Consider the following 26,922-nt stretch of genomic DNA (forward strand, 5'->3'; position numbering starts at 1 on the left):
TTCTGCGGAGATAAAAGGCAAGCACTCGCAATCAGTAAGGAGAGCGTGTACGTTCTGGGGCTAAATGGCATTATAAAACTTCCTAATTAAGCATATATGCCGATGAGTTTTTAGCATCATTTCTCCAATTTAGCTTTACATACTGGGTGCACTGTTCAGTACAGCACTAACTATAAACATTGTTGTTACTGCCCCAGCTGGAAAACAGAGCACTTTATGTGCGCAAGAAAAAAGAGATTATCTCCCATCTGCTCCTGCCCATTATTCAGGGATGTGTCATTTTGTCTGCTGATGGGAACCATCACTAGGATTTTAGTTAAATGGCCTTTTTATAGTTGGCTACGTTTATTAATTATTGTGTTTACTTGGGGTTTAGTTCCCATCCTTAATCCTACAAATTTAGTAATTTAATTTTCCAGAGGTTTTTGAAATTAGATGACTTTATATGTGTAATTTTTATAACACAAATATGCACAACTATAATTAGATATACTTGATGCCTATTTTTAATTGTATATTAACTTTACACATATATATCTGGTTAATATTCCTGACATTAGGAGACATATAATTTAAAAAGGATGGAGCATGGTGTGATTCGATTTCTATAGAGTACAAAACCAGCCAAAGCTAATTAATGTGGCTGGACTCTAGGGTCAGTGTTTACCCTCGAGGTGAAGTGACCCCTCCTGGAAGGGAGCCCCTGGGGTGCTAGGAATGTTCTGTGCCTGATCTGGGTGCTGCCTACAGGGGCATGTTCAGTTTGTGAAAATTTATAGAGATGTGCATTCCTGATAGGTGCACTCTTCTGGAAGTATATATTCTTTCAGGTAAAAGTAAAAGATGGATGAATCCTCTTCTGTGTTACAAAGTCAAAAAAGAAGGGTCTGCACAAAGGCAGATTATGATTAACTCACCCTTCTCCCTCCAAAATAAGGTCAAAAATTAAGTTCTTTCTACATCCATAAGGCCAATTATGTAGGTAAATTAAATAAATGAATGTGCAACTCCTACATGCATTATAAATGGAGAAGACACAAATAGCCTTCTATGTCAAAATGACCTTAGAAAATTTTATTGAGCTTTGGGTGTTTTCTTGCTTTAAACAGATTTGGAAATGATCATGATTTTAGTATATCTGAATCATTTGTCAAGGTATGCCCCTTTCTGCTTTCCTATGTACTATGTTTTGAGTGTCTGATTATAGAAAAATAACCAGGAGTAACAATTGGGGCTAAAATCATATATATATATTATATATATATATACACACACATACACATTATGTATAACATATATACTTTATATGTGCATATATACACACATACATATATATTTTAATTTTTTGGTAAAACTTTGCAGTCTAACCATGAAACAACATCAGGCAGCTACTGTCTTACTACAGATAGGCTCCACAGTTTGGAAAAAACAAATGCCAAAACCAGTGGAATTTTTTTTTTTTCAAATACTAAGATGTGGAGTGTTACCTGGAGATCACTTCAGAAACATTAAGATGGCGAAAACAGCCTCCCTAGAATTTCTCAGAGTTCATTTCTCAAACCATCAAAAACCATCCTGCTTGTGGATAACTTAAAGAGACACAAACAATGCCCCTTGAAGGAAATGCCAGGGCAGTTGACTGGAATAGAAAACGATTGGATAGAATTCTTAACCCAGTTTTAAAAAAATCGATACCTCCCATAATCCCTTTTGCTTGAGCAGATAAGCCAGCTAAATAATCTGACAGTTACAAGATATTGAAAAATAAATTCATGCAATAGCTAATACATAGAGGGATTTCCAGGGGGAAGAGGGAACAATAAAACAAAAACAAAACAAAAAGGTGGAGAATTTGAAAACACAAGCTTACCAACACACACAATGCATTCTATAGCCCATTGTACTTTGAGGCGCTTCTACTACTAAGGTGTAAATGCATTGTTATCCATCTAATCAGGTCAAGGTTGGGCTTGATGACTTTAAAATGACAGTATATACTTCTATAGAACACACACTAGCGTGCTATTGTTCTTCCATTTGTTAAGGGACAGAAGAGCACTGGAAATCATTGTTTTAATTAGCAACGTCAGGAAAATGCTTTGGCATTAGCACTAAATATACTGTCCTTTTAACCATAAGGAAAATTGATACTGAGCATGTGCAATGGAAAGAAAGCTGGCAAATGTCAGTGTGAATAATGGGTGAAAAAAAGGAATGAGGGGGTGTGGCATCTCAATCAAGATTAAAATGAAACTGATAAAGCAGCATATGGACTGGATAACAAATCAAAAGCATGTTTATCCACCGAAGGAACTGGTTAATGGAGACTGCCAGCACGTTGCCATGGAAACACTGACTGTTGAGCTGCACCATCTCATACCTTATCCAATACATTCCTGGTTGCTGGTAGTAGTCCAAAGACCCTGATCTCTTGATGGTAAACCCGTGGTCCAGCTGAGCAGAGAGAAATGGGGCAACTCAGTGGATCAGCATTGTGCTAAAGAATTAAGACTCCAGACCAAGCTGTTCTTCATTGATTCTATATGTATATATAGTTACGATGCCTCTTCTGCAGGGTAACTAGCTAATATCCTAAGTCTGCATACTGACAACAAAAAGGCAGGAAGTGACACCTCATGACTATTTTGGAGGCCAATTTGCTCAAATAGATCTAGTTCTTCAAACAAGTTTTTGAATGACCATTTTAATCATGTCCTCTCAATTTCAAAAGATATAAACACCTCTTCATATGCCATAGAATAGAAAATGCTTCACAATTCAATAAAGTACTGAAATGAGCATTAGCCACTTAAGAGAAAGCAGATTGGACCCCATAGAGTATTACCGCATAAGGCTTAAATTTGAGGGCTTCATAACTATGAAATGAAAGAGGAAAAGAATCAGGTTTTGAAACCTCATCAATTACAGCATTTAAATTTCTGAGTTAATCTTCAAAAGCAGAGCTACTCTTAAAGGTGAATCTTTTCTTTTCTTTTCCTTTTTATAAAAGGTATATGATCTAATTAAAGGTGAATCTTAATTACATTTCTAAACTAAGAAGATAGAGTATAAAACAGTCAATAAATTTTCTCTATGAAAATATGGAAAGTGAAATAAAACAAAAAATAGTTTTCTTTGTATAATAAAAATGCATATGAACAGTTAAGTGCTTTTGATTAACACAAAGTACAATAAATAGAAGACAGGAGAAGTTCTCAAAGTTGTTCATCCTGGAATAAGATGTTAGCTTTTGGGTACCTGGGGATAAAAGATTCAATCCCCCAAACCTGAAGGACACTAATCATGCTGTGTACCCGCTTCCCCATTCTGCCCACGAGAGGATGCGACTTGGACACCTTTCTTCAGAGGGGCTCATGTGTTCTTTCAAGTGCGTTACTGGTATGATGCTGATGACAGTTTCTGCTTCTAAATTCACAAAGGCATTTCAAAAACATGCCAGGGCACCAGGCATTTAAACTAAAAACTGCTTGGAGGATTTTGTGCTCTGATTATAAACTAGGCTATCCAAGTGTGCATAAAATGCAATGTGAAGTTTTAATCTTTTTAAAAATGTGTGTTTCATTTTATTGAGAAAAAAATCAAAGTATACTGGCTCTCAGGAAGATGAAGGTGTATGCTTGGCCACAAAGACAGCTACTTAGTAATTAGCTTTCTATTGCCATCTACAGGCAAAGTGTCATATAACAGGTCTCATTTTAGAACTAAGCTTCCCAGTGTCACAATTATATGCATGCTGATTAGTATGGATTTGTTCAATTAGACTGAAACGCTCTATTTGCATGAGCAAAATGCAAAAGAAGAACTTTAAAGCATTAGGAAAATTATTGGTTAAAATAATAAACAGTGTTAAATGAGGAAAAATAAATTGGAACTGACATCTTAGTCATCGGTTCTTCATCAAGCTGAGCAAATCTAATAATGCCTCTCTCTCTTCCCTCAGCTCTCAAAAAGTTCACCGTTAAAATGTCATCTCTAATTCATTTCATGTCTATAAATTGCATTTTAATAACCTTTTGTTTCCCTTTCTCTCTCTCTTTTTTTTTTCAAATCCCCCAACTACTGAGAAAGGCAGCAGAGGGACAATGGCGTCTCTCTGAGAGGCACAGAATGCTGCAATTCTAAGGAATGCAATGCCTTCCACCTAATCCCATGGCTTGACCTAATGTCAGAGCACCTTTCCTCCTTCAGGAGGGTGTGTGATCCCTGTGAACCTCCAGCTGGTAATTACTGTCCTAGCCAACTCGAGGCCCTCTTGCGACCTTAATATAAAGTTGTCATTTGTCCTTTCTTTGGTCCTAATAATGTACAGACTGTGAAGCAGAAGAAAAAAATGACAACATGAACAAAAAACACTACAATTCAGAACATGAGTACATGTTAAACTACTCTCATATCATAAATTACACCTGTGAGAGAGGCTGCCGGTTATGACAGTATGCTTTTTTCTTTTGTCATTCTAAGAAAGAAAGAGTGTCACAGATTCTCTGATGAGCATTGGTGATCTCCAGCAGGTAGTTAGGTTTCTAACTAAGGAATGAGAAGTACTAGTTAAAAATTAATTATTTAATTGTTGATTCCCCAACTGCCACCAAACCACAAACTAACACTATGTCCTAAATAATAATTTTTAAAACATTCTAAAGGGTGTATGTAATTCTAAAAAATTAGTCCCATGGTAAAGGCGGTTTAAAATACATTATTTTATAGCCTCTGGGGAGAGCGTATATACCTAGGAAAATTCTGTTTGAATGAAATTTATGCTGAAACCAGTTTTTGTAAATCTATCAAAGAGAAGTCATCACTGTATTATATCAATTCCTGAACTTTTAATGATGTGAGCAAATTAATCATTATATTAAATTATTAAATTATCAAATAGTCTTTATAGAATATACCATTTATAAAAAATTTTTCTTCTACCTCCCACTTATTTTGCTTCATAGCAGAATAATCTTTCTTGGCAGTCATACTTTGGAATATTATTTAATGCCAGGGTTTCTTTTTCTTGTGATAGTCCCCTGATAGTCAGCCTTTGCATTTTAAGAATGAAAAAATGGTTATGCAATATAATTGGATGTATCCAGTGCTATTCTGAAAGTATCACAATGAAGGTGGCCAAAATAGCCAGTTTCTAATTCCCAGCCCCACCCTTTGGTTACTGACCTCAGCCAGGTTCTTCTAGAAGGTAGAGATATTTATGAGGGAAAAGCATTCTGGAGAAGGTGCCTCATGTACATAGTATGGTAGACCAGTTTCTCTTAAAACAATCTCTGAAATCTACATTGATATTCTCTTTTATGCTTGAAATATTAATGCTGATAGTTAACATATGAATTGTGCTATAGATCTGACAGGCATTTTTTAAGATACAGTTTTCTGAAACCAGCCAATTATTTTGAATCTGAATTAAGTTGATAATTATTAAAAAAAAAAAAACCTCTGCAGCAGTAAAGATTAAACAAGCATGCAACCAATGCATAACTCAGCATTACACAGCCCACTTTACAATTTGTAAGTATATTACCAGTTTGTGCAGTTTCCATGGAAACCGTGTTAGTGATGAATTGAGAAACTTGCATTCAAAATTGCATTCAAAGTGGTCCAATCATGACATTTAGGAAAAAAAAAAGTGGATCTTTGATCTTCAAATACTAATGAGTGTTTTAAGATCCAGCTAGATGAGGTTTTAATGAATTCATATGGATAACGCTTCAGAATTTATCCAACTTTGATTAAAATAGGATTTCCCCTCAAATATGTGGTGTTTGTCAATTGGAAAATTGCCCTGACGTTCCTGCCCTTAGTCATTGTAAGACTCCTAGAATACTGTGAACAAACAAATATTGAGCAACCAAGGCAAACTTAACCAAAGACTGATTAAAATAAAAGACCAGGAAAAAAAAAGAAAACAAAAGCAAAATGACAGAGGTGGAAAGGCACTCTCTCTAGCAGCTGTAAGCCCTTAGCAGGAGAAAAACAGTCCCTTTCATGGACAAGCATGCTGGCAGTCCATTCCAAAAGAAAACTGTGGAATCAAATGTTTGGAATAGACATATATCTTGAACGAACAATGGAAACAGAGTATAGAATGTCTGGTTTAGTAGAGAATCACTATGATATTGTTGCTTTCAAAACTTACTGACTGAATATCAGCTCAGAACAAAGAACACTGACCATCTATGGAAGATGTAAAGGTTAATTTACTTCTACATTGAATTTTCTCAGAAAGAATTAAAGATAGAGGGCAAGAACAACTTGAAATTTTAAAACTTCAGCGGCACTGAGGAACATCTGGAAGAGTAGGCATTCCCTTTCACTTTACACATGTGCCAGTTGCTCACACGCATGTAAATCACTATTGAAAGGGTTCAATCGAGAAACACGAAATGCAAACAGTACGAGGGTGTGTATGCATGCATTCGTACCATTTGCAAATTCTGGAACCTCATATCAAATACTCAGTAACCCAGATCTGGGATTGGTGGCATCAAACAGATCACTTGTTTATCTTCAGTTTTTTTTTAGAGCTCTCGCGCAACCAAAAAAGAAAAAAAGGAAAGAAACTAAAAACACCCAGAGAAGTGGTTAAATATTCAGTACTGCTCATGAGTGAGAGGTGCTGTTTAATAGCATAAATACTTTTGAAAAAGTCCACATCATAGTGTCTTAAATTCTTTGTTTGGAGAAGAAAAACAGCTCAAGTGATTTTCAGATTGAATATGCTATTAAAATTTACACACTCTGAAAAAAAGAGGAATTTATTAAAAACTCAAGTAATTGGAACTTGAATATATTTACTCCAGAATATGACACCAGGAAGTATGAGGTTTCATTATTCCTCGGCCCAATTTAATCTTTGCCTAGAGCTGCGATCAAATTGCATGTAGTGTATGTCTGCATGTATAGAACAGAAAAGAAAGGCCTTGTGCAGACGCATCAATAAAATAGTAAATGTTAAAAGACTTTCAACTTTAAGAACAGAAATTTCTAAGGAGCAAGACATCGTGACTTCGTTGGGTGTTCACAGTAATTCAATTTCACTGAAAATCTCACTGCGTAGCTTTCTGCTATGCTTTGACTTTAATTTAGGTCTAGTATCAAGATCTATAGTGTTCCAAGCTCTCCCTGCAATGTCGTCTCTCTCAGCTTGCCTTTCCTTTCTAGGTCCTAGCAAAAGGACACTATGAACTCTTTTTCTTAGAGCCAAGAAGTTTGCATTGGCACAGAGTCCAGCATGGGGGAGGTTTTCGGTTTTAAATAAATAAATCATAAAATTAATATATACTGCAAGACACCCTGGAGGTGTTGGATAATGATGTGATGCCCAGGGAAATGATCTGCAGAAACACATAATATATATAAGTCCCATACCTCCTCTAGTGCATTAAGTGGCTGAGCTGTCTAAAGAAATGACCCATTCTGCTGTCTCTGACTGGAGAATCTCCTGAGTAATGCCTGTCTCTTAGGTGGGTTGCTTTAAAAAAAGTTATAGGTGGATATTTCAGATGCTTACTGCTATGACAGAAACTCCAGCTGCTGTGCTATTCGGCTTGGGGCCTGTGTTGAAATGCTTCTTTATCTTTCCAGCTACTGACAGCTGATGTTCATTTTCTGGGAGGCCATCATCCTGGAGAAAAAGAAATAAAGAGAAGAGAAAAAGAAAGAAAATGAGATAAATGAAAAATGAAGGCTAAATCTTCTAGTCACAGGCAGTGATCTTAGAATTCATAAGATGTCAGAAATAAACCAACCAATGTCTACTCATTAAACACTATTGTTGGAAGTACTGCTCCAAGGTCTCATTCATTTCCACATCTGCTCTAAAATTAATTTGCTTTGTGTCATCTGACCCTCAGAGATTTGTCTCTAAATTAAAAAAAAAAATTTCTGTTTTTGGTTTCTAATAAAATCTATTCCAACCACGGCTCTAGGAACATGTCAAAAAGCAAGTTAATCTAGATGACCAGAAAAAAAATTCAATGTGAACATCTTCTTTTTAATTTTTTTTTCCTCTTAACCCATCATTTAGACCCAAAGCCAAGGGTCTTGGATGGCAAGCTTGGGCTTCTGCATGGCCCATAAATAAACTCAGGCTGTTCCACAGTTACTCATTTGGCCATTCTAAAATTCCAGGCAGCCTTCCAGGCAGAAAGATCTTCCTTAAATTTTAAGTCTTTCTTGCTGCCTTCAAATCATCTGTTATTATGACATAGTTTATATTGGAGCTTATTTTAACCAAGGTCTCTATTCTCTGCTGGAGCCATCTATGACTGAGGCTGGACACATGGTTCTCTTGTACTAAATACTGTTAGAATCACAATAACCAGGGTCATAAGTATGTGCCACCACTTACTAGAGTTCATGATGAAAAGGCTGCAGGATCCTTCAAGGCAGAGACTGTGTTTTGCTCACTATAGAATCTCCAGGTCTTAGCATAGTGCCTTGGCACATATTAGATGCTCAATTGTGGAATAAATGAATGAACAGATAATAGAGTGTTTGTAACTCACTGCTAAAAAGAAACTCCTGGCAATCACTTCGATGCCATTCATTATTTTTCTTTTCTTCTTCCTCTCCATCATTTTGCAGGTAATTTCTTGGTTCCACCCAGGAAAATAAGTCTGCTGTTTCTCAAGCATAATGTGCTGGCTCCTTTTGCACGAGCTGGTCCCTCCACATGGCATTTGCTTTTTCTTTCAGCATTTGGGCATTCACTTATTCAATGGACATTAACTGCATGCCTACATGGACCAGGTACTACAGTACGTGGGGGAGAAACGATGGCGAGCAAAGACAGGCATGGGCCCTGCTCTCCTAGACCCTCTGCTCCATTTCTTTTCTTCGTAACTTGGGTCTAACGGGCCTGTTCCAAGGCATTTATCCCCAAGTTAAGCACAGTCCATTCTAATGGCTTTACTGGAAACCCCCAGTGCTTTTTCATTATATCAATTTGCACTATTTCTATTTTTTTGGTGTTAGAAACAAAGTGAAATTCCAGTAGAGTGGGGATGCTACTTGGGGAGGGAACAGAAGCAGGGCCACATGAAGTGCCGACCTTGTCAAGGGCTATGTTAGGAATAGCAGAGTGTGGGAGGAAGATGTGATCTCTGTCCACCAGAACCTTGCAGGCTAATTGGGAGACAAAACATGCACACACTATGTAAAATCATGAAACAGGCCAACAAGATTAAAAGGAGCTGTTACAAGGCTGCATGGCTGGATGGCTCAGCTAGATTCACCAAAGAAGTTCAGAGGAGAAAGGGCATATTTTCTGGTGTGAACAGTTACAGCTGACGTCATGAGGGATATGGGACTTGACCTGGCCCTTAATGATGGAGAGTGTGTTGACAGGCAGAGAGGAGGTGTGGTGATATTTGGTGTGCGGTGTGTGCAAGTGGGAAGCCACAAAGTCATCTCTGCCAAACAAGAAGTCAAACAGTTTGTCTCTAGTTAAGAGTTTATGTGCCATGGTAATGGCAGAGAAAGCTGAAAAAACAGAAGACTGGCCATAAATGAATACCCAAAAGATCCCAGAATTGAAGCCTTCATCTCCATTAGGAATAGAGCTTTTTAATAAGAGGACTGTAAGTTTAAGAAATGTGAAGGACTACCTTCCCTTTACTGTGGTATTTTTATAGTACATTATCCAGCTCTTGGTTCACTCTACAAGTGAAAGAGAAATCAGATGATAATTACAAAGAATTAGGATTATGCGTCCAGAGTTCTAAACACAAGGGTGAATTGAATGGTGTATATAAAAAATGTTTTTATTAATATGGTGAATGAGGCCAAATGCGGTGGCTCACATCTGTAATCTCAGCACTTTGGGAGGCCGAGGCAGGTGGATCACCTGAGGTCGGGAGTACGAGACCAGCCTGACCAACATGGAGAAACCCTGACTCTACTAAAAATACAAAATTAGCTGGGCATGGTGGCGCATGCCTGTAGTCCCAGCTCCAGCTACTCAGGAGGCTGAGACGGGAGAATAGCTTGAGCCCGGAGGCGGAATTTGCAGTGAGCTGAGACTGCGCCATTGCACTCCAGCCTGGGCAACAAAAGCAAAACTCCATCTCAAAAAAAAAAAAAAAAAAACCAACAACAAAAAACCAACAACAACTGGTGAATGAAACAAAAGGCCCCTGGAATTTAAGTTGGACAATAGCGTTTGGGAACTAAGTTAGAATTTTTGACAGTTTTTCCACATTTGACAAGGGATAAAATGATACTGAAAGTCTTCTGAATATTAGTATCATGTCTTGGCAGAGTGTCGGGTTCTGCCAGAATGAAAGGGGCCACCTTGGGTGCTCTACTGGCCTCACCAACAAGATTACACAAGTACTTCTTACCATCTCTTTGTAGAGTTCCAGGCTACCTCGGGCAAAATGATCAAATGAGCTTTCAATGATGAGATACTTTGAAAAACATGATTGTGGAGAAGGTTGAGGAAAGGTTTTTCTTTTTAGGATGAAAGAAACTTGAGCATAATTGTGGTCTTAGGATAAGAAGCTAGTGAAAAGGGAGAGTTGAAAGATACGAGAAAGGGCAGGGTAGGGACGGAGGGTAGAAGTGAAGTGGTTTGCCTTGGGGAGGTATAGGTTTACCTCTTTCTCTGAGGCAAAGATGAAACAAAGAGGGAACGAGCAGAGGTGCGGGGGAGGGAAGTTAGAAGAGCACGGCAGGGCGAGGAAGGTGACACAAGTGTTAACTGCTGTTTACATGTATGATCTCTTTCCTCCTCAAACTTCAGTCCATTTATTAGTCCCATTTTGAACATGGGCAAAATGAGGCTCAGCAAGGTGAATTCATTTGCTCCACGTCACATAGCTAGAAAGTGGTTGAGTCAGCATTGAACCAGGCCTGAAACTCTGTTCTTTTTCCCACACCAGGTTGCATCAATTGAGGATGCTCACTAGCATGGCATCAGCTACAAAAGGGCTGCTTAACTGATAAATGGAAATACTCAGTGAATCATCTTTTCCATGATGAAAGTGGCACAGTGGTGAGGCGGAAGGAGAATTGAATTAGGGGCTGAACAAACCAGAGAATATTTGGACACGACTTAATGGAGCCTGGGAATCATCTGGTGGTCAATAAAAGAGACGCTGAGCATTTCAGGGACCCAGTGGAACACAGTTAGAAATTCTCTGTCAAGTGGAGACTGGGTGTCCACTAATCTGGGATGTGTCAACGTGACCTATTAGGGCCGGGACTCTAGGATCCTATGTGCAGCAAGCAGTGCAGCAAGGCCTGGCTGACACTGGGCAGCATAGAGTTGCACGGAGCCAACAGGGTTGCCGTATGATCGGCACAGGCTGTGTTTACCAGCCTAGGTGTAAATATGGGGAAAGATAGCTGGGTTTTCGTAAGAGCAGCCCCTAATTAACTTACTGAGAAAGATTCAGCTCTTGCTGAATAACCCCACCTTCTTTTCACTCCCCACCATTGGCATCTTTTCAGAAACTTGCCTTCACCTGGCTTTCCCTCCACTGCCAGTTCTTGAGCTAGGAGTTTGCTCTCCAGCCACCTCACAATGGATTTCCTTATCATTTCCCAGCCCTGTCCTGGTCCTAATCTCCTGTCAAGGTTCCTAGCAACTCTTTCAGATACTGGGGCCTGGAGGTGAAGGCCTCCAGCTTTAAATTCCAGTGAAGGTTTGAGCTTCCCTTGGGTTATTAGTTCACATTGAAGCAATGCAAGTAGCGAAACAAGTTGTCAGAGAGGCTTTTGACTTCATAAATCTTAAAACGTTCTAGGATTTTTTTCCAATGAAATAAGGTGTCTCAGCTGGAGTAGGTAAAACACATACATGTAAACACACACACACACACACCCCATGACAATGAAAAAGTCTGCAGTGTTTTTATATAAATTTTGAAGGTTTTCAGCATAATTGGATAAAAAGACTTAAACAATTGGCTTTGCAGGGCTCTAATCTGTACCTGCGCCATACAGATGGATGATAGAGATTTAGCTAACTTACTGTCATGCATCAATAAAATAAATAGGGACGTTAAAAACATAAATTTATATATATACATCTTTATCACCATTATTCAGAATAGATTATGTGCCAAAAATGTGCTACGAATTTTCTAAACGTGACAAATCTGGCAGTATTTTACAAATAGTTACGGTATTATTACCATACGTTCTGGTTTGGTGGTAGTTTCTGAAGTTCGACACAGGCTGGTTGTGGTTTGAGGTTAGTAGTTTTTGATTTAGAAATTCCCATCCACCACTTGGCAGAGCATTGCAACTGACACGAACAAAATTAGTTTGCAAAATGGAAAATGAACTCTCACCACTGTCCATAGGAGACCTGGCCTCCTGGTCTCCATTTCTCTAGGGGTTACTGGGGAAGAGCTGTGGGGAGGCTTGTGGGGGAACGGATGTGAAGTCACTCTGTAGTGTAGAATTCCTCGCTTTCCTCTGGGAAACCATTTCAGGCGTCATGCTTTAAAAAATTCTCATCCCCTTGCGGATTTTTGGTTTTGAATCATGGATCTGGTTTGCAGTCTATTCATTGCCAGACTCCATTATTAATATCTGTAAACTCAGGAGAAGCATGGCAGTCTTGAGCAGTTTACTGCTAAAATATTCCCACGTAGTTTAAAACCATTCCAAGGTTATTAAAGGACTCTTCAATAGCAGTTCCGCTGCACCTCCCAGTGTGCTTGACTCCTGTTAACCATCCCCACCTGCACGGCACCCCCAGTCCCCTTGACTCTCTTCAGCATGGCCCTATGATTCTCTGTCTACAATTCACACTGCACTTTGGGAGAAAATGTAAGGCAAGTTGAGATTTATCTTAGAGCAAGGACAGGATAAAATGCCCATATGGAAACTGCAATTCCATGTCATCGTTTAAAATTTGTGAATATCAATAAGTGGTTTTATATATTATTGCAGTGTCATTGGGCTTCACTTAATTGCTAACAAATTCTACCAGCACAATAAGATGAATGTTTACATTTTTGTGTGTGTGGGTAGGGCTGAGTTTTATTAGTCAACATGGAATATCTTGGGAGATTATCCAGGCTTCTATTTTTTCTTCTTTCCCTTGTTCTTTTTTTCTTTTTGGATATCTGGACTTAGCAGAATCTTTTCAAAAGAGTATGTAGGTGGGATATAGGAGGTAAACTAAAGTGTAAAGGCCAGGAAGGTGATAGAAAGTCTTGAATTGGCTAAATAACTGTATTTGATTTATTTAAACCAGTCTGTTCTGCTAGTACCAAAGTTCTTGAACTTCATTTCATGTTATAATCATCTGTGAGCTTTTAAAAGTCCTGATGCCAGGAAGCCAGTGCAAACCAATTAAATCAGAATGTCTGGGGGCAAAACCCAGGCATCAGACCTGTATTAGAGGCTCCAGTGGGCTTCAGGCTTGAGCCTCAGTTGTTTTTTTTTTGTTTTCTTGAGACAGAGTTTTGCTCTTGTTGCCCAGGTTAGAGTGCAATGGCACGATCTTGGCTCACCGCAACCTCTGCCTCCCGGGTTCAAGCGATTCTCCTGCCTCAGCCTCCCAAGTAGCTGGGATTACAGGCATGTGCCACCATGCGTGGCTAATTTTATATTTCTAGTGGAGACAAGGTTTCTCCATGTTGGCCAGGCTGGTCTTGAACTCCCGACCTCAGGTTATCTGCCCGCCTCGGCCTCCCAAAGTGCTGGGATTACAGGCATGAACCACTGCACCTGGCCCTCAGTTTTTTTTTAATCTATTAAATTGGCAAAATAATTTGATGTAAAACATAGATTCATAAAATTATAGCATCCTAGAGTATCAGAAGAATAACTCGGGATAAGGTAGATGAGCATTTTGAAAATAAAAATGGAATGACAGCAATATATTTAAAATATCACAATGATGATAATTTGATCCTAATTATATATAAGAATTTTTTTCTGGAAATGTCAATTCTGTTTATGAACTTATCATGAACCTACATTTTCTATCAATAAACCGTCATTTGTGGGGAAAGTGACTCAACCCCCTTTCTAATTCCTGGAAAGGTCAAGATATATTATTGCCTATTTTATTCTTATATTATAATAAATGTGCCTAAATCATATTGTTCTCCACTAGATGGGTAATAGGGTAAGGAAACATAGTTGGGATAATTTTGTTGGTATTTTGTAACTACATTAAACAAAGTAGCTGTGATGCTGGAGAAAGTAACAGAGCTGGTGATACACATATTATCTATCTGGATCTGTGACACACAAACAGGATCATGTTGGGGGATGACAGTCTTTCTTCCTTAATCAAGCTTCTCATTCACCAACATTAATCACAATTTGCATTTCATGAGCACATAGCAATGGATGAAACAGTTGTCATCTGGCTCAGACTCAAATTCACCAAATATTTGCTAAGTACCTACAAGGTGCTAGGACTTAAGATTGCCCTCTCAGACTCTTCAACTATATGATCCTTTTCCCATCCTTATAGCAAGTGGAGAGGAGAATCCTATTTTCTCCATTTCACAGATAGGAAAACAGGTTTAAAGGAGAGAAAAGACTTGCCCAAGGTCACACAGGTGAGTAAGCTGATGCTCCTCCCATGGGTCTACATTCCTCTTCCAGACGTGGCTGCTTACTGACGATGGCTTTGTTCATGTGGCTCATTGGAACCATCCATAGAGAGGCCTCGCTCATGACTCTTTCAACAACAGAGCAAAGGGCAAGAATACGGCAGAGCATGGTGGGATTTGGACCCAGGACGTGTGAAAAATAAAGGTGAACTTAGAGGAAGCTCCTGGATGAGGTTAAAACAAGTGACTTTTGCGGAGTAGGTTTTCCTTTCTGCTGCCCTATGCTTTACTGTCTATTTTATATAAGTCTACCTTTCCTTTTTCTTTCTTTCTTTTTGTTTGTTTGTTTTTTGAGACAGAGTCTCCCTCCATCACCCAGGCTGGAGTGCAGTGGCTCAAACTTGGCTCACAGCAACCTCTGCCCCCAGGTTCGAGCCATCCTCATTCCTCAGCCTCCCCAGTAGCTGGGATTACAGGCACCCACCACCATGCTGGGCTAATTTTTTTTTTTTTTTTTTTAAGTAGAGGTGTGGCTTCACTACGTTGGCCAGGCTGGTCTTGAACTCCTGGCCTCAAATGATCCACCTGCCACGGCCTCCCAGAGTGCTGGGGTTACAGGCATGAACCACTGCACCCGGCCAAGACTGCCTTTTCAATTCCAAGTATGCCAAGTAAAAAAGTCATGGTATAAGCAATAGAGAAAATTAGAACTAATGAGAGCAGAGAAAGTGCTTTTTGACAACGTCCTTACGGTTCACATAATTATTAGTACTTTTCTTCCCCCTTCTCTCCTTTGTGGTAATCAGATATAATTTGATTGCCAAATGCAAAATGTCTTACTAAATGGATATTCTTTGAAATCCCTAATTTATTTATTTCATTTGCTTGGCCATTCATTTGTTGTACTTGGAGACATCAACAAATGCTAAATGCTGATTGTGAAAGCTTACTTTTAACAATTGATTATTTTCAGATGAAGAAAAAATCCGTTTTCTGATTTAGTTACTTCATAAAGATAATTTCAAAAGTTAAGCACTCACTTAATCGAGTCTTTAAAAAGCTTTTATTAAAACCATTTTTTTTTTCTAGGATGGTAAGTCTGTTTGAATTACAGAAAGGGTATTTTTTTTTTAGTTTTCGATCTCCTAGATGATTACTTAAATTCTCTCCCTGCTTTTAGAAAATGCCTGTAGGAAATCAGAGAGGAAAAACTGAAATGGACAGCAGAAGTCTAAGGTCCAGAGGGAGCAATGGAACATAATTATCAGCAAAGTGGGACCATGTGTAAAACTGTGCACAAAACCAGGTAGAAGAGGCAGAAAGTTACTGCTGAGACACGTATATATTGCCATAATGAGCAACCTGTTTTTTCACTGGTAACAGCCAGAAGCCTTCTTAATTTTGTTTCTTTACCACAGTTGAGTTGGGATATTATTAATATAGGGCCATTTGGTCTGGAATCAGGGGAAGATTCATGTCGTTCCCAACAGCATTCCAGACCCCTCATGTATATAAACAAATTTGCTCACATTTACAAAGTTATCTTCTAGCAAACATGCACATTCTGCTGGAACTGACTGTCAGATATCTTCTTCCCAGTCTTCTCCAGGATTGAGCTCTGGCACCTCCTTCTCTGGGCTCTGGGAAGTCTCCCCACAGAGCAGACTGGGGAAGCTGTTCTCACTACCCTGGAACTGTCTGGTTGTATCAGACTTTGTTCCTAGAAGGCAGGGCTGGCACACAGTGTCTCTCTGATAAAAATGTATTTAGAAATCTCTACATATAATTTTTCAAAAAAATTGCTCAGTTGTGGTGGTGCACACCTGGGGTCCCAGCTACTTGGGAGGCTGAGGCGGGAGGATTGCCTGAGCCCAGGAGGTCGAGGCTGCAGTGAGCCATGATTGAGCCACTGCATTCCAGCCTGGGTGACAGAGTGAGACCCTGTCTCAAAAAAAAAAAAAAAAAGTAAAATGATTATTTGTCACCTATGAATATCTTTCCTCTATGGCTCTTCAGGAGCCTTTTAAGGCCACATGTCAAATTCAGATTGTCTAGTTTCTTCTGTGTGGTCACCCTGTCTCAGTTTCTCCAGAGCTAATATGCAATTTGACAATTTATGGATGGTAAGCTTTTATTTTTTTTCTTTGAAATTTAAAGAAAAAATTTATTGAAGATCTGAAAAACAATTCCTAAAAGATCAACTTTTCCAGAAAACTAGCTACACAACGCATTACGTCTATCATGTTAAAACATGCATTAGACACAAATACAAAAACCATGAAAAAAGCCACCATTCTTCAACAATTTGAGCAAAGATAAAATGCCTAAATAACAACAAGGATGACTTGCAAAGGATGAGCTCTTTAAGCATCATTAAAAAAAAGTAGCACAAATGGATGAGTGTGTTCAGTTATATACACTGAATTGAACCTTTGGCACTAGGAATCAGAGCATTTTGTCATACAGCATTAACATGTGGATCAGTCAGAACCAACCACTGCCACCCAGAGAGCCTGCAGCTGGCTTGTGCCTCTTCCTCCCCGCACAGCTAAGAAAAAGGTACCATGACCTGGGTAAGTGAGTTTGGAAAGGTTGCTGACTTGTATTAGCAATCATTACAGTGATGACAATGTCCATATTGTACCTGCCTGTTTACAACATTACCATGTTTTCATGTGTAACAAAGGGTGGGGTAGATGTAATGTGATGCATGGGACTTTAAAACACCTGGGGTGAAAGTGAGGATATCTGGCTGCAAATTCTGGCTCAACTGCAAGCTTGGCTACTTTGAGAAAATCACCCTGCATAGCCTTAGTCTCCTCATCTGTAAAATGGGTACAATAATACCCATCCTGCTTATCTTGTAGGCTTGTTATGAGGCTCAAGTAAGATGCTTCCTAATCTTTTCAGCTTCATAGAAAAGGATAACTTTTGCTTAGCACCCTGGGGTGAATGCAGATGTTGTTGAGGCTGGAAGTGACCACTCCTGGATACTGGCTGTACAGCCCCCTGTCCCTAGGGCCATGGGGATTACTATTTTTGCATGTCTGTACACCAGTTAGAAAACTCTGCTATATGAGAAGCCTTAAAACAAACCTCAGTGCATAGCTCTACATGCTCATTTTCAAGTCTATTCTCCTGTTATTTGTATATAACCTCCCAGTGGAGTGTGAAGAATCACATTCAGACATGTAGAATGCTGGAATCTAGACCTATGGCCATCTAGTGGCACAACATGAATGAGATCCCAAGTTCTTGTCCCCCCATATGTAGTCACCTGACACATTGACTGTGCTTTCAATCATGCCTTGACCTCAAGCTTTTGTTGTTTTGGAAAACAAAACAAAACAAATCACTCGACTACTCACCAAGGTGGCAATTCAGAGAAATGGAACATTTTGTGGCCTTCAATGTACAGCCAGATGATTCAGTGCAGTAGGGAGGCTGGTAAAATTTATATCAATGAGCTGACAATTTTATGATTCTCCACCTCTATGACCACGTCCATATATATATTCAAGCCTATATCTGTCTTCTATTCTGGCAGTAGGAACTATTAGACTTAGTGATGGAGCTTCCCCATCTGTCAGTGGGGATTACCATAGAAACTAGATTACAAAGTTACAATGTTGTTGGGAAGAACACAATAAGTACAAACACAACACAGTTAAGGTATATAAGATGCTTAAAATACTTCTGGCAGACTCTAGAAGTTAAGCATTCTATCAGTATTAACTACAAGCATTATTATTATTACTATTATTTGAGACAGAGTCTTGCTCTGTCACCCAGGCTGGAGTGCAGTGGTGCAATCTCCACTCATTGCAGCCTCCGCCTCCTGGGTTCAAGTGATTCTACTGCCTCAGCCTCCCGAGTAGCTGGGATTACAGGCGCATACCACCATGCCTAGCTATTTTTTTTTTTTTTTTTAATAGAGACGGGGTTTAGCCATGTTGGCCAGGCTGGTCTCAAACTCCTAACCTCAAGTAATCTGCCCACCTTGGGCTCCCAAAGTACTGGGATTACAGGCATGAGTCACTGTGCCCAGCCTACTATTATTATTTTTTGAGATGGAGTCTCAATCTTTTGTCCAGATTGGAGTACAGTGGCACAATCTCAGCTCACTGCAGCCTCTGCCTCCCGGGTTCAAGTTATTCTCGTGCCTCAGCCTCCTGAGTAGCTGGGATTACAGGTGCGCACCACCACACCCAGCTAATTTTTGTATTTTTAGTAGAGATGGCGTTTCACCATGTTGACCAGGCTGGTCTCAAACTCCTGGCTTCAAGCGATCTGCCGGCCTCAGCCTCCCAAAGTGCTGGGATTACAGGCGTGAGGCACTGCGCCCAGCCAACTATGAGTATTATTAATCAAAACAAATTTCACCCATCGGTTGTAGAGAAACACAGAATTAAAAAATAATGACTCTGCTCTGGAGAATTCCTTCATAGTTAATGAAATATCATTAGACCCGTGTACTCAAAGAACAGCCACAGAGGCAGCATCGGGGAGATTTTAGAAATGCAGAGCCTCCAATCTACTGTGTTAGAATCTGCGTTTTAACAGGCTCTCCAGGTGATTTGTGAGCACATTCAAGTTTGAGAAGTGCTGAAATGGAGTAGCCCAAGGTTTATGTCGAAACCCTTAGGTCACTTGCACTTTGGGTAGGAATCATGCAAAAAGCAGGACTGACTCAGAAAGTCTGTTATGCCTTCTTGATGATTATTCAGCTCTAATCTGGACCGCAGAAAGCAGGTTGCGGGGTAGAAGATTGAGACCACTGGCACCTCACCAGTTAGAAGGCAGTCTCATCAGAATAAAATGTAATGGATACATCAGATGCCCTCGTGGAACAAGTATAAGATCCTGTAACTGTCCTGGCACATATGAGGGGGAGGAACAAAATGGAACACAACACTTTTTTCTTTTTTTTTTAGATGATGTCTCACTCTGTCATTCAGGTTGGAGTGCAGTGGCACGATCTTGGCTTACTACCACCTCTGGTTTCCAGGGTCAAGCAATCCTACCACCTCAGCCTCCTGAGTAGCTGGGACCACAGGCTTGTGCCACTATGCCCAGCTAATTTTTTGTATTTTTTGGTAGAGATGGGGTTTTGCCATGTTGCCCAAGCTGTCCTCGAACTCCTGAGCTCAGGCAATCCACCCACCTCGGCCTCCCAAAGGGCTGAGATTACAGGCGTGAGACACTGCGCCTGGCCCACAACACTTTCAAAAGGAGGCAATAACATTAGAAAATCTGCAACTGATTTTTAAAAGGAATGTTAGGAGAGAACAAAGGAAATGGTGCGAGTCACTTACATTAACCCAGGGATGCTCAAGTACTTGAACAGCAGAAAATCGCTGATCTACATCGACCAACAGCATCATGGTAATGAGCTCCTGTGAAGGGGAACGTTAGAGTCCATTTATCTGAATTTAAGGTGAAAAGCTGTATGTGTGCAAATGCAAGAGTTCTCTTTTAGTTTCGAAAAGCATTTGTAAAAGCTCTAAATCTTAAATACATCAACTCCACTTACCTGTGGCTATTTATCACCTTCAAAAGTTAAAAATGGTAAGCACTTGGAATTGTAAATACATAGCTTGTGGTTGAATAAAAATTAAATTAATATCAGAATCATTTTCATAAAAATGTTTGTAATAGAAAAGAAATTATACAAGTTAAGGAATTAATATTCCTTTCTTTGTCTAGCATTTTGCATGTTAAAGACAGATTTATTAATTAGTTTAATATAGAAGTCACATTTAAAAAAACACTTTACTTAAAATTTCACTTTAGCAGCTGAAAGGAAAAATGAAAATTTCCCCCTAATTTCAAGACGGCATACTTAGGTTTGAAAGAAAGGTATGAGGAAAGACATAGAATTGGGTCTTTCCCCAATTCTGGGTGGCAAGATAGAATTGATCCTTTAGTAGCTAAAGAATTCTAAAGAAACATGTTACAATTGCTTGAAAAATTTCCAGACAAATCAATACAAAGAAAAATAGAACTATTGAGAGGTAAACAATTTCATCATCCTGAAATTAATGGAACTTCCTCATGAGCTCAAATGGACTTGGACCAGGAATGCTCTACCTGGGTCTTAACGATGAGTATGCTATACAATTGTCCACTCTGGATTAGAAGTTCCCATGTCACAAAATGGTTAGATATGCATTATCCAGTTCCTTACATACACAGGCTTTATAGTACCACTCGGGAAGGGGGTGATTTAATTTCATTGAGGGAGAGAGTTCACTCAGCCTTCTTCATTCAGTTTCTAACTTGGATCAGAACTCGTGAAAGTATCTGCTGTGTGTGATGCCCTTTGCAGGTGCTATGGAGGTGTAGGAGATGGTCCTATTTGTCAGTAACTGTGAGCCCTCAGATCCTGCAGTGATGGCATGGGGAGCTGGACAGGTTCCTGAAGAGCCCCCGGCCCTGCAGCTGTATCGTCCCATCTCCTTTAGCCTGCGCCTTTCTCTGACACTCCCTTTCTGGCAGCTTCCTGGACAGTTGAAGAAAATGAGAGACTTGCACTCAATATGCATCATTTTCTACACAAAGTGGTCATGTCTGAGGGGTTGGCTTTTAAAGGGAACTCACATTCAGGACATGACAAAAGCAAAGGCATAAACATTGAGCAATCAAAAGATAATTATTTCTCAAGATAATTATTGAGAACATTTTTCTCAAATTTTTAAACATTTAAGTCAGCACTCGGAGACATAAATTTTAAAAAGAGCAATGAAAAGGTTTTCCTTTTTCTCCTCAAGGTCTACAAACATCTCAATGTAAGATTTTTATAGCCTTCTTAGAAGTTGATTTATCATAAATATTATTTAATGTGGTAAAATATACATAAAATTTACCACTTCAACCATTTTCAAGTGCACAGTTCACTGACATTCAGTGCATTCACATTGTTGTGCAACCATCACCTTCATCCATGTTAAGGACTGATCTTTTAGTTTCATGGGATAAAAACAATGAACCTTGTGTTTTCCTCCCCCTCTGCCTCTAAATCCTGGCTATTATTCAAGGTTCAACTTAAATCATAGCTTCCCCATAAAGTCTTTCTTGATGATTTCAACCTACGTTGAGGTTGAGTTTTCTTCCTTCTGATTAATTGATGGATTCATTCATATACTTGTTCATTTATTCAGTATACATTGAGCACCAGTATGCTGGTCATACTTTAGGCAGGGATAGTACAGCAATGGACAAAATAGATAAAAATCCCTGCCTTCGCAGAATTTGCATTCTAGTGGAGAGAGTCTGGAAATGAACTATATAAAGAAGACATGCCTACTTATTTATATCTATCTTTTTTTGGGTAGAGAGATAGGTAGTTAGATAGCACACCAGATGGACACACAGGTGTTAAGTGTTCTGGAGAAAAATAAAACAGACAAGTAGGATACAGCAAGCCAGGTAAGGTTTAAGAGATGCAATTGGAACCAGGATGGTCTGGGAAGGCTTCACTGGGAAATTAAGTCATTAAGTCAAGAGCTGAGAGAGGTGAAACCACAGGCCATATAGAAATCTGAGCTGGGCTCAAGCCTGGCGAGGGTGGGGCACAGCAAGAGGCTATAGCAATGTCACTGGAATGGCACCTGAGAGAGATGAAGGCAGCAGATGGAGACACTTGATAAGTACTTGTTGGGATGTCTGGGAACAGATGACTTGATGACTGTGAAATCTTGGAAAACCTAGCAATTACAACTAAAATGTGTACAGAAATCATACTTATGATGTCATTAGTTTCTTTGCACACAATGATTTGGAAAAATAATTCCGTTAAGACACACAGAATATAGGGAAGAGGAAGGCACTGGACACCTACCTTTGCAGAATCGGAAACATTATCCCAGTATGGAGAAGGAAAGTCCACCTGCCCCATCAAAATCTGATCAAAAAGCACCTCCTGGTCATCACCACTTCTGTTTAGGTGAACGACAACAAGGAAAAACAGCACTAAGATATCAACTCAGTGTACATCTTTTCAGTCTTAGGCACTGGAGCCCTTCCTTTCCCCCCATAAATGTGTAAAAATGTGTATTTTTAATCGATTGAAAAATGTCAATGTGGATCTGTTTTGGTAAATTAAGAAAGAGTTTTTGGGCCGGGTGCGGCGGCTCACACCTGTATTCCCAGCATTTCAGGAGACTGAGGCAGGTAGATCACTTGAAGTCAGGAGTTCAATACCAGCTTGGCCAACATGGTGAAACCCCCATCTCTACTAAAAATACAAAAAGTAACTGGTGTGGCGGCGCACGCCTGTGATCCCAGCTATTCAGGAAGCTGAGGCAGGAGAACTGCTTGAACTTGGGAGGCAGAGGTTGCAGTGAGCTGAGACTGTGCCACTGCACTCCAGACTGAGCAAAAGAGAGACTCTGTCTCAAAACCAGAAAGAAAAAAAAAAAAAGAAAGAATGAGTTTTTAATGATATGGGGAAGAAATATGGAAGGCATATAAATTAGCATGCATGACATAACAGGGAAAAAATAACAGGGATTGCAAGTAAAGTTCTTGTGCTCTTTTCCTGCTGCAGGCTCCTTTGTGCAAGAAGGGCTAATGGATCACTCAGAGAGTAGAGAAATGCTTTGTCGGCGCTGAATAAAAGATTGTTGCCCATACCCACGGAATGGAGGGAAACCACACAGCAGGATATAAGTGATTACACCTGCTGCCCAGATGTCCACCTTGAGGCCGTATCTGGAAAAATAAGGGATGTTAGAGTTAGGAGGGTCAGGCTCGGACAAATTATGCAGCTTGGTAAAATCAATGACTTTCCTCCTCCAAGCCAAAAATAAAACCAAACAAAATAACAATCCCAACAACAAACGCTAAACTAAAACCCACCACCTAAACAGAGTTCAAAGAAAAAGTTTAAAAAATAATAATTTTAAAAAAGACCAAGGTGCAGGAATAAAAATCAAAGGAATGCATTGCTGGACTTATTTGTAAATATCAGTAAATGAAGGTTTTCAGCAAAAAGGTTTATTATAGTAATAACAATTCTGAGATAAGGATGGACCCTTGAGATAAACTCCCTCACTTTAGGAATAATAATTATTTCTAGAACGTTTTCCAATTTATAGAGCACTGACATACATGATCGTACTTTGTTTTCCTAGCAACTCTGTAGGTTGGACAAGACAAGTATTGCTTATTGTACAGAAGAGAGAAAACAGGTTCAGATGGGTGAGTAATTTTGCTTAAGATCACACAGTTAGTGTCAGAGCTGGTCCCCAATATGGTCTTCAAGACCCACCACTTCCTCCCAGCAGCAAGCAGAGCATGTCCCAGTAGAAAGTGTGTCTGTGCCCCAGGCAGCCCCACCTGAGGGAGGTCAGACAAGGCTATGGATGTGGGCTCCCACCTCATTCAAATTTGCCAAGTAGCAAAGTCCTCATTCCCTCACATCTCGCCTCAGGAATTTCCCTATTGGGATTCCCTTCTCATCTATTTGGTTTTTCTGCCCTTGTGGTCTATGGTACAAGCAAAAAACAAAACAAAACAAAACCTCGAAAAACTATCTCCAACTGGTCACAGGGGAGAGTGCCACCTAGATTCCCAGCTGTGGACTGAAACTGCTAATGAGAAGAAAAAGTAGGGCTGCCTCCCCTCAGTGCCCCACCCTGTTATTCCTTCTGCTTAAGGATGGCACCTCAGAGCCTGCCTATGGCCCTTGGTAAGAAATAGGGCTTCTTACCAAAGGAGTCTTTGACTCAGGCTGACCTGAGTTCAAATCCTGACTCAACCACTAAAACTAATCATGAGCTTGCATGGTATCTAACCCATTAGAGTTTCAATTTATTGAAGTGCAAAATGGGAATCAAACCATCGACTGGAAGAGTAAGAAGTAAAGGAGTTTCAGGCCTAGCATATTGTGGGGTCTTAGTAAGGAATAGGCTACCCCACCCTTCTCCCCACATTCATCTGATTCTGCACACAGAAACCAGGAAATTCCCAATGGTCCCTGATGCCTAAGGGTGTTTGTACTCCACGGAAAATCAATGGATCCCCAAGAGGTCCCAAATGGGACCTGGACTGGAGGATAAGGGCAGCAGAGAGAAATAACTGCAGGAGACTGTAATCACCGCACACGGCAGTGTCTGTTTCTTTTATCTCCAAATGAGAGTTAATTACCATCGCTGTGTGTTTCTGTTAGTCTGAACATTTTTTACTCTGGGGTTAATAACTTCTGTTCTACCTTTAACAAAGACCAAATGGAAGCCTTAAGATTGCAGTAATTGACAAAACAGATTGGGAAAACAGAGAAAATGGCTCCCACTGTAAATGTTAAAGAATAAAATACAATTTTAAAAAGAGTGGAAGAAACCTGATAGCTAATTATGTCTGGATAGGGCACAGCAGTACTATTTTTCCTATTCTCGAAGCGGGCTAGTTCTTTTGCAAGCATAGCACTTAAACATAAGAGAAGCATTTACCCAGTCTCTGCAATGATTTCTGGAGCCACGTATGTTGGGGTGCCACAGACTGTGTACAGGGGGCCGTCTACAATGGTGGCCAGTCCAAAGTCACCCAGCTTCAGTGATTTGCTGCCATCTTGGTGCTCATACACCTAAAACAAAGGTAAAAATCACAATTGTCTGAAAACCAAGAGCTCAAAAGCCCTTTCTTGAAGAAATGAGGAACACTGTGTTTAAATTTAATGTATAGGAGGTAAAAAATAAATTAGGCAATTATGCAAGAATGGATATACATACAAAATAGCTTACTTCCTTTAGATTACTGCAAAACTGGAATCATGGTGAACACCTAACAAATGGAAATTGATTAAATAAATTATAGTACATTCATACAACGAGAGGTTACATGACCTTAAAATGGCGATACAGGTTTATAGTTATTGAATTATGTTTGGGAAATGAGCAGAGCAATTTTCAGATTGGTTTTTATAAAATGTCCATTAAAGAAAAAAAGTACATACAAAAAAAAAAGAAAAAGTCTGAAAGAACACAGTGCCGATGTATCTGTCTCTTGGTGGTAGGATTACAGGTTTTCTTAATCCTTTTGTTTATCTGTCTTTGATGTTGTCTATAATTAAAACTGATTTGCATAATAAAATGAAGTATAGAAAGTCCCTAGTGCAGTGTCTCCGATTTATGAAAATAATCTCTTTGTTTCAATATATTAAGAAAACTTGCCGGGAGCTGTGGCTCACGCCTGTAATCCCAGCACTTTGGGAGGCCAAGGCAGGTGGATCACCTGAGGTCAGGGGTTCAAGACCAGCCTGGCCAATATGGTGAAACCCTGTCTCTACTAAAAATACAAAAAGTAGCTGGGCGTGGTGGCGGGCACCTGTAATCTCAGCTACTCAGGAGGCTGAGGCAAGAGAATCACTTGAACCCGGGAGGTGGAGGTTGCAGTGAGCTGAGATCAAGCCATTGCACTCCAGCCTGGGCAACAAGAGCGAAAATCTGTCTGAAAAAAAAAAAGAAAGAAACTTTAAAAATGCAATTCTTTAGTAACTAAATACAAAAAAACTATACTTATAGTAAAATACTTTATTTTCAGTGCCTCGTATTTTCAACATGATCTATTTACATTTCTTAATAATTGAAAGAGATATTAACATTTCATTTCACCTGTGGCAATTTGGAAAGATTTATCAGGTGCAGAGTCAGCATCCTGTCCAGGTTTCCCTTATTAAGGCAGTAAAAATCTTCTCTCTTTCACCCAACAAATCAAGAAAAGGATGCATGTGACTGTAGGCAAGTATTTATACTCCTTTAATTCCAGCCACGATCAAAACAAATGGAGCTGCTCTAAAAAGTATCCCAAATAACTTATTTTATTTCAAAGAAAAGATGAAAGGGCGTTCAGAATCCTAATTGAGTCCCCTCTGTTGGAATGAATAAGATTAAGAAAAGAAAACCACAGTAAAAGGCTAGTAATTCCAGCAAGGGCAATCTTCACGAATGCCTCAAGGAAGCAGCTAAGTTTTCCATGTACATCAAAATACTTGATCCAGCAAGCCGAGGCTTGCATATTCTCCTGTTCTCACTCTGTGATCATCTGTTACTTGCTGCAGTAGTTTGAATCTTTTGCACAGCAAGGCACATCTCCACACATCAGGGGCACCGCTACTGTTCACACGTCACGTCTGCCTTCCTTTGGAAAAAGTAGATTAACTTTGCGTTTCACTGCAACACAAAATGCAGATGTTTGGCCAGCTAAGCTGCAATATCAGCAATGATCACCTGGATCCAACAGTTTTGGCAGAAGCAGGCAGTCAGATCCACCTATCTGAAAGACTGCATCTTTTCTGAGCAGAAAATATTCTTTTACGTTTTCTCCACACTCATAGCATGGAGTCTTATTCCCAGGAGCTGTTGATCAGGAT

At 39.6% G+C, this 26,922-nt stretch overlaps 1 protein-coding gene across 6 annotated transcripts in view, besides 1 other annotated feature; it reads right to left on the minus strand.

Annotated features, from left to right (window-relative positions):
* DCLK1 (doublecortin like kinase 1) overlaps nucleotides 1-26,922 on the minus strand; it is a 363,288-nt gene that overhangs the window by 17,180 nt on the left and 319,186 nt on the right. For 4 of the 6 annotated variants that reach the window (NM_001330072.2, NM_001330071.2, NM_001195416.2 and 1 more), the window contains 5 exons: nucleotides 25,004-25,137; nucleotides 23,187-23,264; nucleotides 22,393-22,489; nucleotides 19,868-19,948; nucleotides 7,535-7,648 (listed from right to left, as the gene is read on the minus strand). In NM_001330072.2, the coding sequence (NP_001317001.1) occupies nucleotides 7,535-7,648; nucleotides 19,868-19,948; nucleotides 22,393-22,489; nucleotides 23,187-23,264; nucleotides 25,004-25,137 (504 nt within the window). Of the gene's footprint in view, nucleotides 1-2,380; nucleotides 2,455-7,534; nucleotides 7,649-19,867; nucleotides 19,949-22,392; nucleotides 22,490-23,186; nucleotides 23,265-25,003; nucleotides 25,138-26,922 lie in introns of all 6 variants that reach the window. The other 2 variants (NM_004734.5, NM_001195415.2) reach the window with 1 other exon arrangement.
* Nucleotides 3,894-4,395: an enhancer, noted in NCBI's record as "NANOG hESC enhancer chr13:36363862-36364363 (GRCh37/hg19 assembly coordinates)". NCBI's record gives its function as "activates a minimal SCP1, AML or CMV promoter by ChIP-STARR-seq in naive H9 embryonic stem cells {active_cell/tissue: H9 hESC(naive)}" and the evidence as "EXISTENCE:reporter gene assay evidence [ECO:0000049][PMID:30033119]".

The sequence above is a fragment of the Homo sapiens genome, chromosome 13 (genome assembly GCF_000001405.40).
Source record: "Homo sapiens chromosome 13, GRCh38.p14 Primary Assembly".
Taxonomy (NCBI): domain Eukaryota; kingdom Metazoa; phylum Chordata; class Mammalia; order Primates; family Hominidae; genus Homo; species Homo sapiens.